Source organism: Homo sapiens, chromosome 5, assembly GCF_000001405.40.
Source record: "Homo sapiens chromosome 5, GRCh38.p14 Primary Assembly".
Lineage (NCBI taxonomy): Eukaryota > Metazoa > Chordata > Mammalia > Primates > Hominidae > Homo > Homo sapiens.
Window position 1 is genome coordinate 87643506 of NC_000005.10, and position 16291 is coordinate 87659796.

The 16291-nt window shown below is 35.1% G+C and overlaps 1 long non-coding RNA gene across 1 annotated transcript in view; it reads right to left on the minus strand.

Annotated features, from left to right (window-relative positions):
• Positions 1–14462: 14462 nt before the first annotated feature.
• LINC02144 (long intergenic non-protein coding RNA 2144) overlaps positions 14463–16291 on the minus strand; it is a 75109-nt gene continuing 73280 nt past the window's right edge. Inside the window, exon 8 of the long non-coding RNA NR_183312.1 lies at positions 14463–14501. This is a non-coding gene — a long non-coding RNA (long intergenic non-protein coding RNA 2144). The remainder of the gene's footprint in view (positions 14502–16291) is intronic.

A 16291-nucleotide genomic window follows, 5' to 3' on the forward strand; every position in this document is an offset into this window, starting at 1 on the left:
ACCTTTTATCAGTTAAATTTATATTTATCATGGCTACTAGTTATCTGAGCTTTTTCTATTATATTGAATGTTTAATTTACTATATTTCACATTTGCTTCTTTTTGTCCTCTTTTCGGGCTATTATTAGATTGTTAGAATTTTCTTTATTCTATTTGATGCTTTCTACTGGTCTGAAATTTACAATATTCTCTTTTTTCCATAGTGATTTAGCCTTAAGGCCATATCTTCTGTGTCCATGTTGATGTTATAACCCCAGCTCTATTCTCTTTAACCTATATTCAGTATCCCATACATAGTCTGTGGGCTGCCTAATACTTACTGCCACCCATTGAGTTTGGTCCACTAGTGGCAAAAACAAAAAAACAAAAAAACAAACAAAAAAAACCTGCAGTGGGTAAATTTGTTTATTGTATTTCATCCAGCACTTCTGTGTTTGTAACATTGAAGATTTCCATCTATCATGTTGCTTTACAGAGTTGTTTACCTCTAACAAGTGTCATCAAACACAAATAAGTATGAATGTATAGTCAGTCCTCTGTTTCTGTGGGTTCCTCATCCATGAATTTAACCAACTGCAATAAAAAATATTTGGGGGACAAAAAGAATGGTTGTGTCTGAACTGAACATGTTCATATTTTTTGTTCTTGTCATTTTCCCTAATATTTGTTAGTATATAGATATATAAATTAGAAATTATGGCAAAACATACAAAAATGTTAACTGATTTTCTCTGTGGCGTGATATTATTGGTAGTTTTAATTTTCTTCTTTATGTGTATATATTTTCCTAAATTTTGCAATAGTAATATTGCTTTTTATAAAGGAAAACTAGAAAGATTTTTCTTTAAGCTTTTTATATTCATAGTATTAAAACACTGTTTTATACGTATATCAAAGAGATGATTGAACACTAGCTTAATTAATCAATAGTATTAGTGTGGAGAGAAAAATGTGGGCATATGGCTTTAAGTTCAAGTAAAATATGCTTGGAGGAAGTCAGGAGTTGGTAGTATCGTTTAATTTTTAGAGTAGTTTTTAACAGGAAGAGACTGAGAAACTGTTACCTTTTCACCTCTTGTTTTAAACAGAATTATGTGTGTTCAACCTGAATCTATGGGATGATATTTTGCATTACAGTTATTTACATAGCATTTACATTGTGTTAGGTAATATAAGTAATCTAGAGATGATTAGATGGGAGGACGTGCATAGGTTATATGCAAATACGACACCATTTAATATATGGGATTTGAGCATTCCATCTCCCACGGATACTGTGTACATATATGCATGTGTGAATTTATCAATTAAGTGATGTAGTAGAACTGGTACATTATTTCATTTGATTCCATACTATATAGCCTATGTTAGCATTAACTTGATAAAAAAAGAGCTATGTTATTTTGTAGTAATCAAAGGCAATTCTTTACAATTGACATCTTTCAAAACCTTTGTAGTTTTAGAATGAACTCTGTATAATATCTCAGTGGAATTTGAAAGATAATGAATATTGCAAACAATAGTGTACTATAATCCCCAAAACGAAAAATTTGTAGCTATTGCAGGGACTGAAATTTGGAAGCATTTATCAGACCTTCTGAACTTTGAACAAAGTTAAAAAGCCTGGCAGCATATTTTTCTCTAAAAAAGGTGCTGGTTGACTTAGAAAACAACTTTTCCATTTGAACCATGGCTTGTGTGCTTCTGTGTTAGCCATAGCAAATGCTGATCATTATTTTAAAAGCTAGAGAGTAGGAGAGAGAGTAAAATATCTGCCTCAAGCATTTTTTTTCTCAAAAAATAAAAATAAAAAGAGAAAGGGAGGGAGATGCATAAAACAATATTACACTGCATTCACCACTTTGTGTTCAGTGCTTTACAATTGCCTAATTGTTCATCAGCTTCACAAAAGAAATGCCTTTTATTTTCTCCAGGCACTTAGAGATGACTAAGTGTCATTTAGTCAATTGGCAGAACAAAGAAGTCAATTTATGGATTGCGTTTTCACTGTTTCGTTATTCTTAAAAATAATTCAGTTTATTGGTTTAGTGTTCTGAAAAGGCGAGGGGGGATTGACAGGTCTGGAGTACAAAATATCATCCCATAGATTCAGGTTGAACACACATAATTCTGTTTAAAACAAGAGGTGAAAAGGTAACAGTTTCTCAGTCTCTTCCTGTTAAAAACTACTCTAAAAAAAAACAATACTACCAACTCCTGACTTCCTCCAAGCATATTTTACTTGAACTTAAAGCCATATGCCCACATTTTTCTCTCCACACTAATACTATTGATTAATTAAGCTAGTGTACAATCATCTCTTTGATATATGTATAAAACAGTGTTTTAACACTATGAATATAAAAAGCTTAAAGAAAAATCTTTCTAGTTTTCCTTTATAAAAAACAATATTACTATTGTAAAATTTAGGAAAATATATACATATAAAGAAGAAAATTAAAATTACCAATAATATCACACCACAGAGAAAATCACTGTTAACATTTTTGTATGTTTTGCCATAATTTCTAATTTATATATCTATATTAACAAATTATAATCATATGAATGTTATTTTATGACTTCATTTTTATATTTATAAGCATTTATAGGAGGTCATCAAATATTCCTCTAAAATGATTTTTAATTGCTAAATTATTTTCCATATGGATATATCCTTATTTATAAAACCAATCCCCTTTTATTAGACAGTTAAATTATTTGTAGTGGTGTAGTTATTATGAAAACAGTGCAATGAATGTCACTTAATGTCTGTCTTTGTATGCATCTCTGATAAGTTATAAATTATTCCTTACAATAACTTGCTTGTGGTTAACTTACTACACTAACACATAATGACATCTTTAAGGTTTACACAGTATGTGGCCAAACCCCCTTTCCCAAATTTAGTAATTTACTATCCTAAGAGTACGATAGTATATGCATAATTAACTTTTAAATGGTGAAAATAATAGCTTAACAATCAATAATGATGGATGCTTTGAGTCAAAGGGTCTAATTTTTCCATTAGCTTGTATAGAAAATTAAATTTACTATTGAGGAATGTGTGTTTTTTTATTAATATATCTGTAATTTTATCAGTATAAATTATCTTTATGCTTTTAACTATCCTTTAGTCTTTTCTACTATTAAATCTCATAGATATTATTGTTATTCTAATTACTTTAATGTAAATGTATTACTCAGAAGTGTAAAACATATTTACGTAACGTTTTCTTATTTTTTAAAAAAGTTTTCTATTAATAATTATGAAATACAGGATTTTACTCATTTTTTTACACAAACAGGAACTATTCCTTTTTAAATTGAACAAAAAACTTTGGAGAATTTGATGAAAGTTGGAGAAAAAAATTGAAGAAAAGATGCACAGATGTTTGCTATTCTCTTTTAATCACTTTTTCCCAGAAATTGTTCATTTCACCAGAAAATACTAAATGTAGGAATAAAACTGCTGCATAGTACACTCTATACTCACAAATGAAATTATCTAGTTATATTCAATCTATTTTGTATTTTTTTAACAGCAAGTGGCTTTTCTATATGCAGACTGAGCATTGAAATGCACCGCAGCCACAAATTGTGATTAGAAAAGCTGCTTGTTTAGCAGTTTCAAAGAGAACCAACATGACAATCAAACATGGAAAGAGCAGATGGAAAATTTATTTTAGGACATGCAGCAATAATAGAGAAATTAGGGAGCAATTAAAACATGAAAAAAAAACAGTTTAGCTGAAAAAGTAAATCCAAAGTTATTTCAGTTCAGTTCCCAATTATGCTTTTTCTTAAACCAAGGTTTGAATTAGGAAGAATGAAATGTGAATGTTCCTTTAGCAAATAAGGTACAACTTAGAGTGACATGTGGTGATTGTTTAAAACAGTCTTAAAAACCAGAGCAATCACTCGATACTAGCATTTCTTTTTAGATAGTTAAATTGTTGGTAGATGTCAACCTGTATTTAGACTGTTGGTAGATGTCAACAGTATCTAAAACTTGTATTTAGCTTTGTACTTTAAAAATTTAACTATAAAAATTAAAAATCTGTTTTAAGTTGGCTGCATAATAGTTAGGGCCCCATGTATTAGTTTCTCAGACATCTTGCACCAAATATGTCAGAATAAATTAATGTAACCTTTGAAAATAAAGCTTTCTGCAGGTCTCTACTTCTGGATCTGAATGGAATATGCCAAGGCACAAGGGTTCCTTGTTATAGACACCAAATACACAATGTGAACAAAATACTTTCACTGGGACAGTTCTAAATGTAAATGAATTGTAGCATCAGGTGGCGGTGACTCCAGATTCTTACACAAAATTGTAGTACTACTGGTGCTGGAGCTTAATGCACAAGGCTACAGCTGTACCCTGAGAAGACGGGGCCAATGGAAGAGCAGTGTGTTTGCCAGTGTTAATGATAGTACCTCAGGTTGGATTCTTTAGAAGCAGAGCCTCACCCAGGGATTCATGTGCAAGTGATTTAGAAAGGAAGTCCTCCCAGGAGAAACCAATAAAAGAGAGACAAAAGCAAGACAGTGAAGAGGTTGAGAGTAACCAGGTGCGATTTTAGACAAAGGCCCCTTTAGACAAAGGGTGGCTTCTGCCTGATCCAAAAGGAATTTTGAGGTGTTAGTTATGCCATAGTTTATCCAAACACATAATTCCTCCACCAGGGAACATGTGGTTAGATTAAACCAACTTGTCACCAAATGGCTGATTGGTCTCCTGCAGGGTTGATAACATATTGAACATTTAGACTCCATTCTTGACAAAGTCAGATATGCAGCCTCAATGAGAAGAAGTCCAAGTTTGTGCTGTTGGGCCCATGCGTAATCCCCAAGTCTAACACCATGGCTACATTTTTGGGCCTGAAGTGGGAAAGACCGTGGTTGGAGCAGGATTTTGTTTTTGTTTTTTGGGTGGAAAGTGTGTTGGTGAAGGAGGAAGAGGTGGAGACTAGAGGTTCAGTCTTGTATTGCTATGAAACATCCAAATGGAGATGTCACATAGATAGTTGGATATACAGATCTGAAGTTCAGAGGTTTCCATACTGAAGTTATACAAATTCAGATATTTTAAGCTGCAGGTAGTATATAAAGCTAAGGAACAGAAGAGTTCTTCCATGGATTGATGTGCATAGAGAAGAGGTTCAGGACTAAAACCTGCTGCATTCCAATGTTTAATGGTCAGGGGGATGAGGACCAGAAGTGAAAGAGACCAAGAAGGAGCAGCCAGTGAGGAAGGAGAAACCCAGGACAATAACATGTCGTGCAATAGAAGTCAAATGCTATTGATGCCTCCAATAGGATGAGGGGTAAGAATCACTTATTAGATTTAGTAAGGTTTACATCATTAGTGACCTTGCTTTTGACAGAGTGATGGGAACACAACTGTAATTGTGGTAGATTCAAAGGAGAATGAGAGGAAAGAACTTGATGGCGGCAAGTAATGGACATCTCTTTGGAGAAATTTTTGTTGTTGTTGTTGTTTTTGTAAAAGGAAGTAGAGAAATAGAGCAATAATGGAGAGAATTGAGATAAAAAGAGTTAGAAATAATAACATTTTTATTCGGATGGGAATGACCCAACATCAAGGGGATTTTGATATTGAAACAAGGAGAAGACAGAATCAACAGAGCAACATCCTAAAGTATCAGATGTTTGTGTTAACAGTGTAGGAGTAGAACATAAGAATCAAGTACATATTATCCTAGCATTCATTCTTTCATTTTTGAAGAATGAGTAAGAGTAACAGACATAGTTATCTGGACCTTCTCATTCTAAAATTTTTGAGGAATGCATCTAGAAGATGCTATGTGTGATGGTGGTAGAAAGTGTCAAGAAACACAGCTGGGCCGGGTGCAGTGGCTCACGCCTGTAATCCCAGCACTTTGGGAGGCTGAGGTAGGCAGATCACTTGAGATCAGGAGTTTGAGAACAACCTGGCCAACATGGTGAAATCCAGTCTCTACTAAAAATACAAAAGTTAGCCAGGCATGGTGGTGTGTGTCTGTAGTCCCAGCTACTTGGGAGACTAAGGCGGGAGAACCACTTGAACCAGGTAGACGGAGGTTGCAGTGAGCCAAGATTACGCCACTGCACTCCAGCCTGGGTGATAGAGTGAGAGCCTGTCTCAAGAAAACCAAACAAACAAAACAAAAGAAGAAACACAGCTGAAGCATGCCGAATCATGGGTAACAGGATTATGACTCATTACAGCATAAGATTTATCCTAGATTGGTGGAGACTTGGTATACTCTTGCTGAAAAACTTCCATGTCATATTCTTGGAGAAGAGAGGACCAGCATATCTCAGTTATTCAAAGAAAGTGTTGAATGCATAAGATATTGTAAGATATCATGGTGTGTTCTTAATGCTGGCTAAAAAGAGAAAATGAATTGAGGCTTATATAATGGCTGACTTCATAAAAATCTTTCTTTTACCACAAGATATGTTACTTTCTAAAACATACCAATGATATTGAAGGGGAAAAATACTATAAATCCGTTAGAAATTAAAATAAAATCTTGACTGCAATAAATATTTGTAGATAATACCATTTAATTTTCTAATAGTAAATATAATTAAATAATACCTTGGTACTTCTTTCCACTGGAAGTTTTAAAATATATCCACAAATTTTTAAATATGTCTTCCTTCAAAACTTACGTCCCTACTGCTTTTTGAGAGTGGAAAAAAGTGACAACTGTGATTAGGACATGAATGACATTGTGGCTTCTCTCTCACTACTCATTCTGGGGGAAGCCAGATGCTGTGTAATTAGGGCAATCACGCAGCCCTAAGGAGATATTTACTTGGTGAAGGATTTTGGAGGCCTCTTGCAAATAACAGCAAGGAAACTGAGTACTTTGCCAACAGCTTTGTGAATGATCCTCTAGCAGATTCTCCAGCCTCAATCAAGTCTTCCTATGACTGCAGCTGTAGCCTACATCTTGACTCATGAGAGACTCTGAGTCAGAACCACCCAGCTAAGCCACCATCAAATTCTTTACCCTTAGAAGTTGTGACGAAATAAATGTTTGTTCTTTTAAGTTGAAAGTTTTGGGGAGATTTCCTATCTGGCAATAGATAACTAACATAGACTTTTTCTCTGAAATTTTAAAATTTTTATTTATTTTTTAAGCTGGATATTGCTGCATCATCTTTCTTCTCCAGAAGAGCCAAGAGTTCATCTCTGCCTTTAAATCAGAGGCCAATTTAGCTGAGCATAAAATCCTTGGGTTAGATTTCCTTTTCTTCACAATTTTGTACATTTTGATTGTCCATTTTCCAGCACTGAATGTTTTACTCATTCCTTTACCACAGTTTTTGCATTCATTTATTGAATGTTTTAACTTGGTTGTTAAGTCTTTTTGAAATAAAGTTTATTTTTAAGAAAAGTTTTAGATTTATGGAAAAATTATGAAGATCATTCAAAGACTTCCCATATGCCCTGCATTCAGTTTCCCCTGTTGTTTATATCTTACATATATTGAGTTGGAGGGTTCAAAGATTTACAAAATGAGTGATTCTGACTAGATATTAAATATAGGTAGCTTTGGAGGCTCTCAACATGGAAGAAATTGCCTGGGGAGTGAGTATAAGAGGAAAGAAACTAGAGTAATGCTTTTTTAAAAATCCCAATACTTACACTGGAGAGGAAGAGGCAACACAGTAAAAATACAGGAGAATGGTCAGAAATATTGGAGAAAACAAGGGAAGCACCGTGTTAAATAAGCCAATGTAAGAGTTTCTAATGAAAGAAAGCAGTCAAGGTTATTAAATGCTACAGAAAGATGAAGCAAAATGAATATCCCTTCAATAAGTGACCTGGAGATCCCACTTTAAGTAGGAAAACAGGAAACTCACCAAAAATGAGCATATTCAGTATTTCAAAAGAAGAGTGACATTCTAGGGAATGTTAATAAAGATAGTGTAATATATTCTAAAGATTTCTATTTATAATTTTCAATAAAATGTAAGGCAAAGTTTTATTCATAAAAAAATTATATGCATTTCTGAATTTCCAAGTTCTGCATTTCCAATTGTTGTATACAAGTTCAACCTATATGTTTTGGGGACATTTCAAGATGCATCACTCTCCTAGGCATAGTTGATTAGACAAAGGGTGAATGCTTGATATTATATGGCCCTGTCAGGGTTCTTCCCCAAACCCAAATTAGGATTAGGAGTGAGAGAGCAAGAGTCAATTAATTTCTCCATAAAATTGCGATAATAATAAACTTGGAGATCCTTTTGCCCCCAGTGAGGTTTGTAATCACCAGAAAGCCATCTGCTTACCAAAAACAGGCAGCTTGTTTTAATCTCTCATTCATTAATTCTCTCCTTATGTCTTATTTGCCATTATACTATCCAGAGTATTCTTACCTTTTTTGTGTGCATTTTAGCCACAGAATTTCTAGTTTTTTCAAAGAGATTATGTCACTTTTCATAATTTCTAGTTCTTAGCTGATATTTGGATATTATACTTTTAATTCTAAGAGCATAGTAAGTCATCATTATTTTACAGTCTGTTGCTAGTAATTCCATTGACTAGAGTGCTTGTGGATCTATCGCACTTTTTATCGTGTAGATTGTTTTCCTATATTGTCCTTTTTTCTCATATTTAGTTGCGTGCTGGATGTTTTATTTTAAAAAGTCATTTGTAGAAATAATTTGAAGTTAAAGTTTATTTCCTTTGGAGGAAATTTTCTTTTGTTTTTTCCAGGTATTTTGGGGCATGTGCAAAACAAGTGATCTTAAGTTAATTTCAAGATGTAAGGTTTTCTGTGTCCCCAGATGTCTCTGAGGTTGACTCAAGTGCTTGCAAAGGGTGCATTACTTTCTGTTCATTTTTACTCTGAGTGTGTGACCCTCAGGAGTTGTTTACCATAGACATCTTCCCTTGCCAAGGCTTGGACTCCAGTTTTGTTGCTCTATATCAAAGAATTTGTCAGAGGTGTTCCTTAGGTTCTCAATGTTCCTTCTAAATCTGTGCACATCTCCTGCACAGAAATAGTCCTGAAGACCAGGCTTACCTGGATTTCTCCCATTTCTTCATTTGGTCTTTCTCTCTCTTCCTTCCCTTCTTCCTTCCTTCTTCTTTCTTTCTTACTTTCTTTCTCTTTCTCTCTTCTTTCTTTCTTTATTTTCTCTTTCTTTCTTTTCTTTCTTTCTCTTTCTTCTTTCTTTCTTCTTCCTTCCTTCCTTTCCTCCTTGCTTCTTTCTCCTTCCTTCCTTCCTTCTTCCCTCCCTCCCTCCCTTATTTCTTTCCATTCCTTCCTTCCTTCTTTACTTCCTTCCTTTTCCTTTCTTTCTCAGTCTCACCCTGTCACCCAGGCTGGAGTGCAGTGGTGTGATGAACACAGCTCACTGCAGCCTTGTCCTCCTGGGCTCAAATTATCCTCCTGCCTCAACCTCTCATGTAGTTGGGACGACAGGTGCCTGCCACCATGCCCAGCTCATTTTTCAAATTTGTAGAGATGAGGTGTCACTATGTTGCCCAGGCTTGTCTGAAACTCCTGGGCTTAAGTGATCCTCACTTTGGCCTCCCAAAGTGCTGGGATTACAGGCATGAACTACCACTACCAGGCCCAGCCACTTACCTGGATTTCTATATTTTCCTAGCTCTTGACATGGTTATTCTTCACCATCATTTTGAAATTTTTAATTGTTTTTAGTGGCTGTCCTATTTTGTGGAGCCCAAAGCTGACCCAACTTGTAGGTCCCTCTTTAAGAAACAGAATGCAAAATTAGATATGAGGCCTTGGGAGGAACTGTGCAAGTGAAGAGCCCTGTAATCTAAGCTCAAGTAGGTTCACAGTAAGTCCTCCTCTGTTGGCTTCACTTAGTGGTTAGGTCCAAATTATCTCCTACTCTGTCATTACCAAAAGTGGAAGGCATCATGACGTATCTTTAAAAACACATATCATTTTCACTGTGGTGTAATATTTGCATCACGAAGAACAGCAAAGCTAACAGAGCAGAACAACTCTCCCTTTTCACATGCACCTTCTCTTTGAGTGGAACAGCAGGCAGAATTACCCACACTATTTCTCTATTTATTTATATCTCACTCTCCCTCTTTTTCTCTCTTATAAGTAAGCATAGCTGAATATGTAAAAGCTAAATTTGCTATGATGGAACTCCATTATTATCTGTAATTTTTTGTGGGTTTCTTTAACATGAGTTACTTCTAAGTGCATGCCAGATGAATTTTTAGCAATTTTTATTATTAATTACCATTATTATTGCATTGTTACTAATGTTATAATCTGCATGGTTTATACTTTTTGGAATTGGGATTGTGTTGAGGCCAAATGGTTACCTTTTAAAGTTTTGTGTGTTTTAAAAGAATGCATATTTTATGTTGATAGCAGGAAACTCTATAAACCAATTAAATTAAGTTTATTAAACTTAAGGATAATAACATGAAAAGAGAAAGCTTTAACCCATTGGTTTATTTTTCTAAAAATATACAACTTTATTTAGAAATAAATATAATTTTAAAAATAAATGAAAATTTAGTCAATCAAAATATAAGAAGATGTCAAAAAAGAATATATATTACACAAAATAAAACATTAGGAATTCCTAATAAGAGGCAGCCCATAATGTAAGGTAAATAAAGCCCTATGTATTTCATCCTAAAAAGTTGTAGGAAGAAAATGGGAAATAGAGAAGGACAGGATAGCTGACAGATGTGTGTTCTATGAAACATTTGGGCTTCCACTTGGAAAAAAGGAAGTCTGTTACACAGGCATAGGAAATTTCAAGGGAATATGGTCTTCCATTAGGGCTTGGAAAATTTCTCTTTAGGGCTTCGGAGAGAGGTAATTTCTTAGGATGATCCTCAGGTAATCTTCAGTTTCCAGGCAATCTTAATGTCCCCTGTAGGAAGAATGGAATCCCACAGTTCCTGGAGGATGGTACTTGGGTAACAGCCTTTTGTGAACTAAAGTGAATACTGACATACTTGAATTTTTTAAAATATTTTATTTTGTGTGATGATTTCATAAACATCTTTTTAGTGGACCTACCATAGGGAAGAGTTGAAGTAGTCCTACTGCCAGAAAGAAGATGTGACAGACAACTTCAGGAAGAGCTAATTTTGAGCACTCAGGGTGAACTATTAGAATCTGCCCAGGTTTGGAGAGACCAATTTTTAACTTCCATTTTGGAAATGAGCAAGTCACTCAGTGATCAAATGAATCAGAGGAAAATTTAAAATGACTGTGAGGATACAAGCATTACTTCATTCATTCTACCACTAGGAGTTTGTGTGAGCCCTTCCTCTTTCTACCATATACCAAACACTAAAGGTAATACTAAAAATATTTAAGAACCAATATATTAAAGGTACTGAATAATTGAAACAGACACCTGTTTCACAAGAGTTAATAGAATATCAGCTGAATGTCAGTTCTGGAACACTGTCTTAGAGATAAATCAAAAAAGAGAGAGTGAAATGTGAAAAAATGAGCAAATAACCCCAAAGACTTAGCATTATCTAAAAGAATTAGTTAGCTTACTGTATTGGGCTAAATGTTAGGAAGTGTTTGAGTACTTTCTTACCACTTCCTAATGGGTGAGGGCTTACAGGGAAGACCAGATAGATCTTTGCAGGTCTGAGTTGTTTGCAAATTTGTGACTTCACACACACAAACACACACACACACACACATATATATATATTTCTATACACACACATACATATATACACACACATATAGACTTTAGACTTTTTGAGACAGGTATGAGAAACCAAAGGGGAACTCACTAGTTCACTGCCATATTAAACTCTTATGAGCTGAGGTGAGTGAGCTCTGTTTAGTTTTTTGATTTAGTGGGACATCCTGGGCATGTCCAACTAGATGTTGTTCTCAAGGCAGATTTACTATACTGGACTTGTACTATATTTTGTAATCAGACAGGAGTGGCATATGATACCATGGGAGAGAAAAAGATTGTCTAGATGGAAATTTTGTAGCAAAAAATAGAATGGCCAATCTATATTTAACTTATGGACATAAAAAGAGTAGATAACAAATGATATGTGAAAAGCTGCTCAGAGACTTATGAAACAAAACAGGAAAGTAAAATATCATGGAGAAGATGGAAAAAATATGACAAGTTCTTAGTATCATCAAATTCTAAAGAATCAGGCAGGCTGGTGTTCAGAATCTGGCTCTACCAGGGTTGTATAACTATGAGTTATTTATTTAAATTATCCAAGCTTTAATTTCTCTATCTGTAAAAAATAATAGTTGTACTTATATCATAGGTTTAAAATAAGGATCTGTGAGATAATCCATGTAAAGTATTTAGCACAGTGGTTGGCATAAATTCTCAGTAAATATTAGGCATTATTATTATTATTGGTTTTTGGATCAGAGTTGGTATGTGGCAGGAAGAGAGAAATCTTCCTCTGATTCAAGGACTGAAAGAAAGAGTAGAGCCTGAATAAATTTGGGGGTGAAAGGTAGAACATACAACGGAATTTATGTGAGGTATCATTTATCTCATTGCAGTGATCAAGATTGAATGTGATCATATGAGTTAATACTGCACTCAAAAAAAAAAGAAAGAAAAAAAAGAATTTAAAGTTCATATGCCTGACTATATGGGAATGGGAATAAAGTAAATGGATGTTGGGTTTATCCCTAAATAGGGTGAAGAGAGCTCTTAAAGTGGATAGTTAAGGGGATAGGACACATTTAATGTGGCTGATTGTGGAATTGAGATTGACACAGAGCAAAATAAAAACTGGAAGGTCTAATATGCTAGATGCAATGAGAGGAAAAGAAGCTTAAATGGTAGAGAGGAAATGAAATGTAGTGGAAGAGAGGAAGCAACTCATAGGTATAGGAGAAAGATTTGAGAGGAGAATTTTTGTTCATAAAAAAGGTGCAGAAATATTCCAGGTGATGACTAGGTTTGAAATTTATAGAAATGGAAATGGAGATCTTTTAAGACATTGAATCCAGATGTAGAAGTCAGAATCACCAAGTATAATATAAAGGATGTTTGAAAATGGGTCCTTTGAACCAACTAATTAAATCTTTGAGAAAGAAAAAAAAAACCTGGAAGGCTGTGAGTTATTGCAATGAAGATGGGGAGATCATAATACAAAACAAATTTTACAGACACTACAGATACATTGTAGTAGACCATTAACCTTAAGACACTAGCTGTTTACTATTCTGCAAATATTCTTATCCAAACACTATTCTGTGCTCTGAAATATTTAAGTTCAGAAATTACCTTTGGAATTGAGACCCTAGGCTGCAACAATGTTACCTATATGACTATTAAACCATAGGTTAAATCAAGCCATAAAATAGCCTCATACCCTCACTAAAATTAGATTGGTAGTGTGTTTTTAAATGTTATTTTTTTCAAATGAATTTACTCTAACAGTACTTCTTTGTTTTGGTTTTAAGGCTTAAATTAGGTGCCACTGGAACCATTACTGGCTTGGCAGATACTTGCTTCTATAGTGTGATTTGAGGGGTGTTTTGAGAGAAGGTTCATTTGAACCTAATTGTCTCTACCACTGGCACTTTTATTATCTATTAAACTGTTGCTCAGATGAATTTATCAAGATAGTTTTAATGAACCAGACGTCAACCAGAAACTTTAAAGAAGAGAAAGCAGTAAAAAGAATTTTGAGATAGAAGGGAAAACAAAATCAAGAGCAAGGAGTATTGCCAGAAGAGCTGAACGTCGTGAGCATCTCTACAAATGTAACGTCAGGTCAGTGCATACCAAACTAAGGGAAGAGGAAAAAAAGGAAGAAATATTTTTTACCTATTTTCCTGATTTGGGGTAGAGAAGGACTAGTTGTCTGTGCGCTAAATTCCCATCTTTATGTGTAATAAAAACGAAATGTTCAAGAAGCAGTTAAGCCTCCTTGAGTTGATTTAAAATATTTTCCTTTTGTGAAGATAGAGCCTTATTTTAGAAAAAATAATCAACTGAATGGTCTTATTAAAGAGTGGTGATAGCCGGGTATGGTGGCTCTCGCCTGTAATCCCAGCACTTTGGGAGGCCAAGGTTGAGTGGATCACCTGAGGTCAGGAGTTCGAGACCAGCCTGGCCAATATGGTGAAATCCCATCTCTATTAAAAATACAAAAAAATTAGCCGGGTGTGGTGGTGGGCGCCTGTAGTCCCAGCTGCAACTCAGGAGATTCATAAACATACTTATTTCGAATAAAAATATATAAATCAGACATGGCCAGTGGATTTAAAACAGTCTTAAAATTTAGCACTCCCCCAGATTTCACAAATCCAACTCAAATGCAACAGGTCACAAATTCAGATACCTGCAGGAGTAGCATAAAGGAGAGAAGCGTCCTGGTAAGGACTCCGAGCAAAGGGAGGACTCAGGAGTCAGGAGAATGGCGTGAACCCGGGAGGCGGAGCTTGCAGTGAGCCGATATCGCGCCACCGCACTCCAGGCCAGACGACAGAGCGAGACTGCGTCTCAAAGAAAAAAAAAAAAAAAAAATTAGCCAGGTGTGGTGGTGCATGCCTGTAATCCCAGCTACTTGGGAGGCCCAGTCAGGAGAATCGCTTGAACCCAGGAGGCGGAGGTTGCAGTGAGCCGAGGTCGCACCATTGCACTCCACCCTGGGCGAGGAGGGCAAAACTCCGTATCAAAAAAAATAAATAAATAAAGGGGGGGGTGTTATCTAATTTTAAGTGTACTTGCTTACCCTCATGGACAATGCTTGCTAAGGACTCAAGCAGGAGAGAAATGCTGCTTTAGGTAAATTACAACTAAAAGTATAAATTATCGTAGGTGAGAGTTGTGGAGTAAATAGTTTCTCTATTACAGTTAAACAGAACAATTGTCTTCTTGTGACTGGACTAGATCACAAGGTTTTTGCCAAAGGGTTCATGTGAACTCAAGTAATCAATCTTGTTTTGTGTGGGGGCCACATGGAGGAGAGAATGAGGCGGTTCTCAGGAGTGTCCCAGATCTTTTTTTTTTTTTTTTTTTTTTGCTTTTCCTGCACTCTTACCAATTAGAGAGGCAGAGTATTAGGTACAAATCCTGAAAGCTAGGAGGAAAACTATGAGGACTGTGATCTCTGGTGAAACCACAGATATGTTCTAGAAAATTAAAGTATTTTAAAGTTGAAGCAAGGAGAAAAGAGAAAAGACTCAGGGTTCTCTCTTCAAAGTTATTGCTGAAAAGGATATTTTAAACAGTTGATGGTATACCTAGTGTACATAAGGGTGTGTGTGTGTGTGCATAGTGTGTATTTTTATGTATGCTATAATGAAATAATCTGTAAATATTTGTATGATGTTTTATTTGACTTTTCTATTAGAGATGCTTTGTTGATGTTTTTTATTAAACGGATAGCATGATAATACCTGGTATAAGCAGAATTGTCAAAACGTATACATAGAAGCAGCCTGGATACCTAGGGCAGCTTACTCTTTGTGTGGGTTACCTTTTATTCTGAATTACTTGAACAGTAGATTTATAAACATACCTATATCGAATAAAAAATATATAAATCAGACATGGTCAGTGGATTTAAAACAGTCTCAAAATGTAGTGCTCCCCCAGATTTCACAAATCCAACTCAGATGCCACCAGGTCACAAATTCAGATACGTGCGGGAATAGCATAAAAGAGAGAAGCGTCCTGGTAAGGACTCCTGGCAAAGGGAGGACTCAGGACTCGCTTAGAGGGGGATTCTCTACCTGGCTCCAGGGGTTTGTTGCCTAGTGGGAATGTCAGCTCTGATTTTCCAAGAAAAAAAGAAAATTCTGTTTTTTTTAATGTAAAATCTTATAATTTTAAATACTGGTATCTAGTTTTAATTTAAAAACATGTATAGACCAAACAAATTTTACATCAGAGATAGTCAACTACCTATTTCACCTGATTGATTGAGTTTTTGTTGAATCTCTCTATATATTTATTTGCATTTTTTTGAATTGGTTAAAGTCCAAATGAGCTGCTCAAAAGAGAGTTCAGACTTCTAACATAAATGTCAAATGCGCTAAAGTTTACCTCTTTGTGAAACATTGCAAGAATTTGTAAATAGTCCTTTAGGATTTTATTGTGCCCGCAGAGTAAAATAGTGAATGAATTATGAATCTGGAAATTATAAATTCATAATATAAGCCAGTTAATTCAGTCTCAAAAGCATTGATTTATTTAATCTGGAACAGATGATTTTGATTCTTATGGAACTGAATTCACTGACTAAGCTATTCTTGCCCTGCACAGATACAGGATAAGAGGTCTGAGG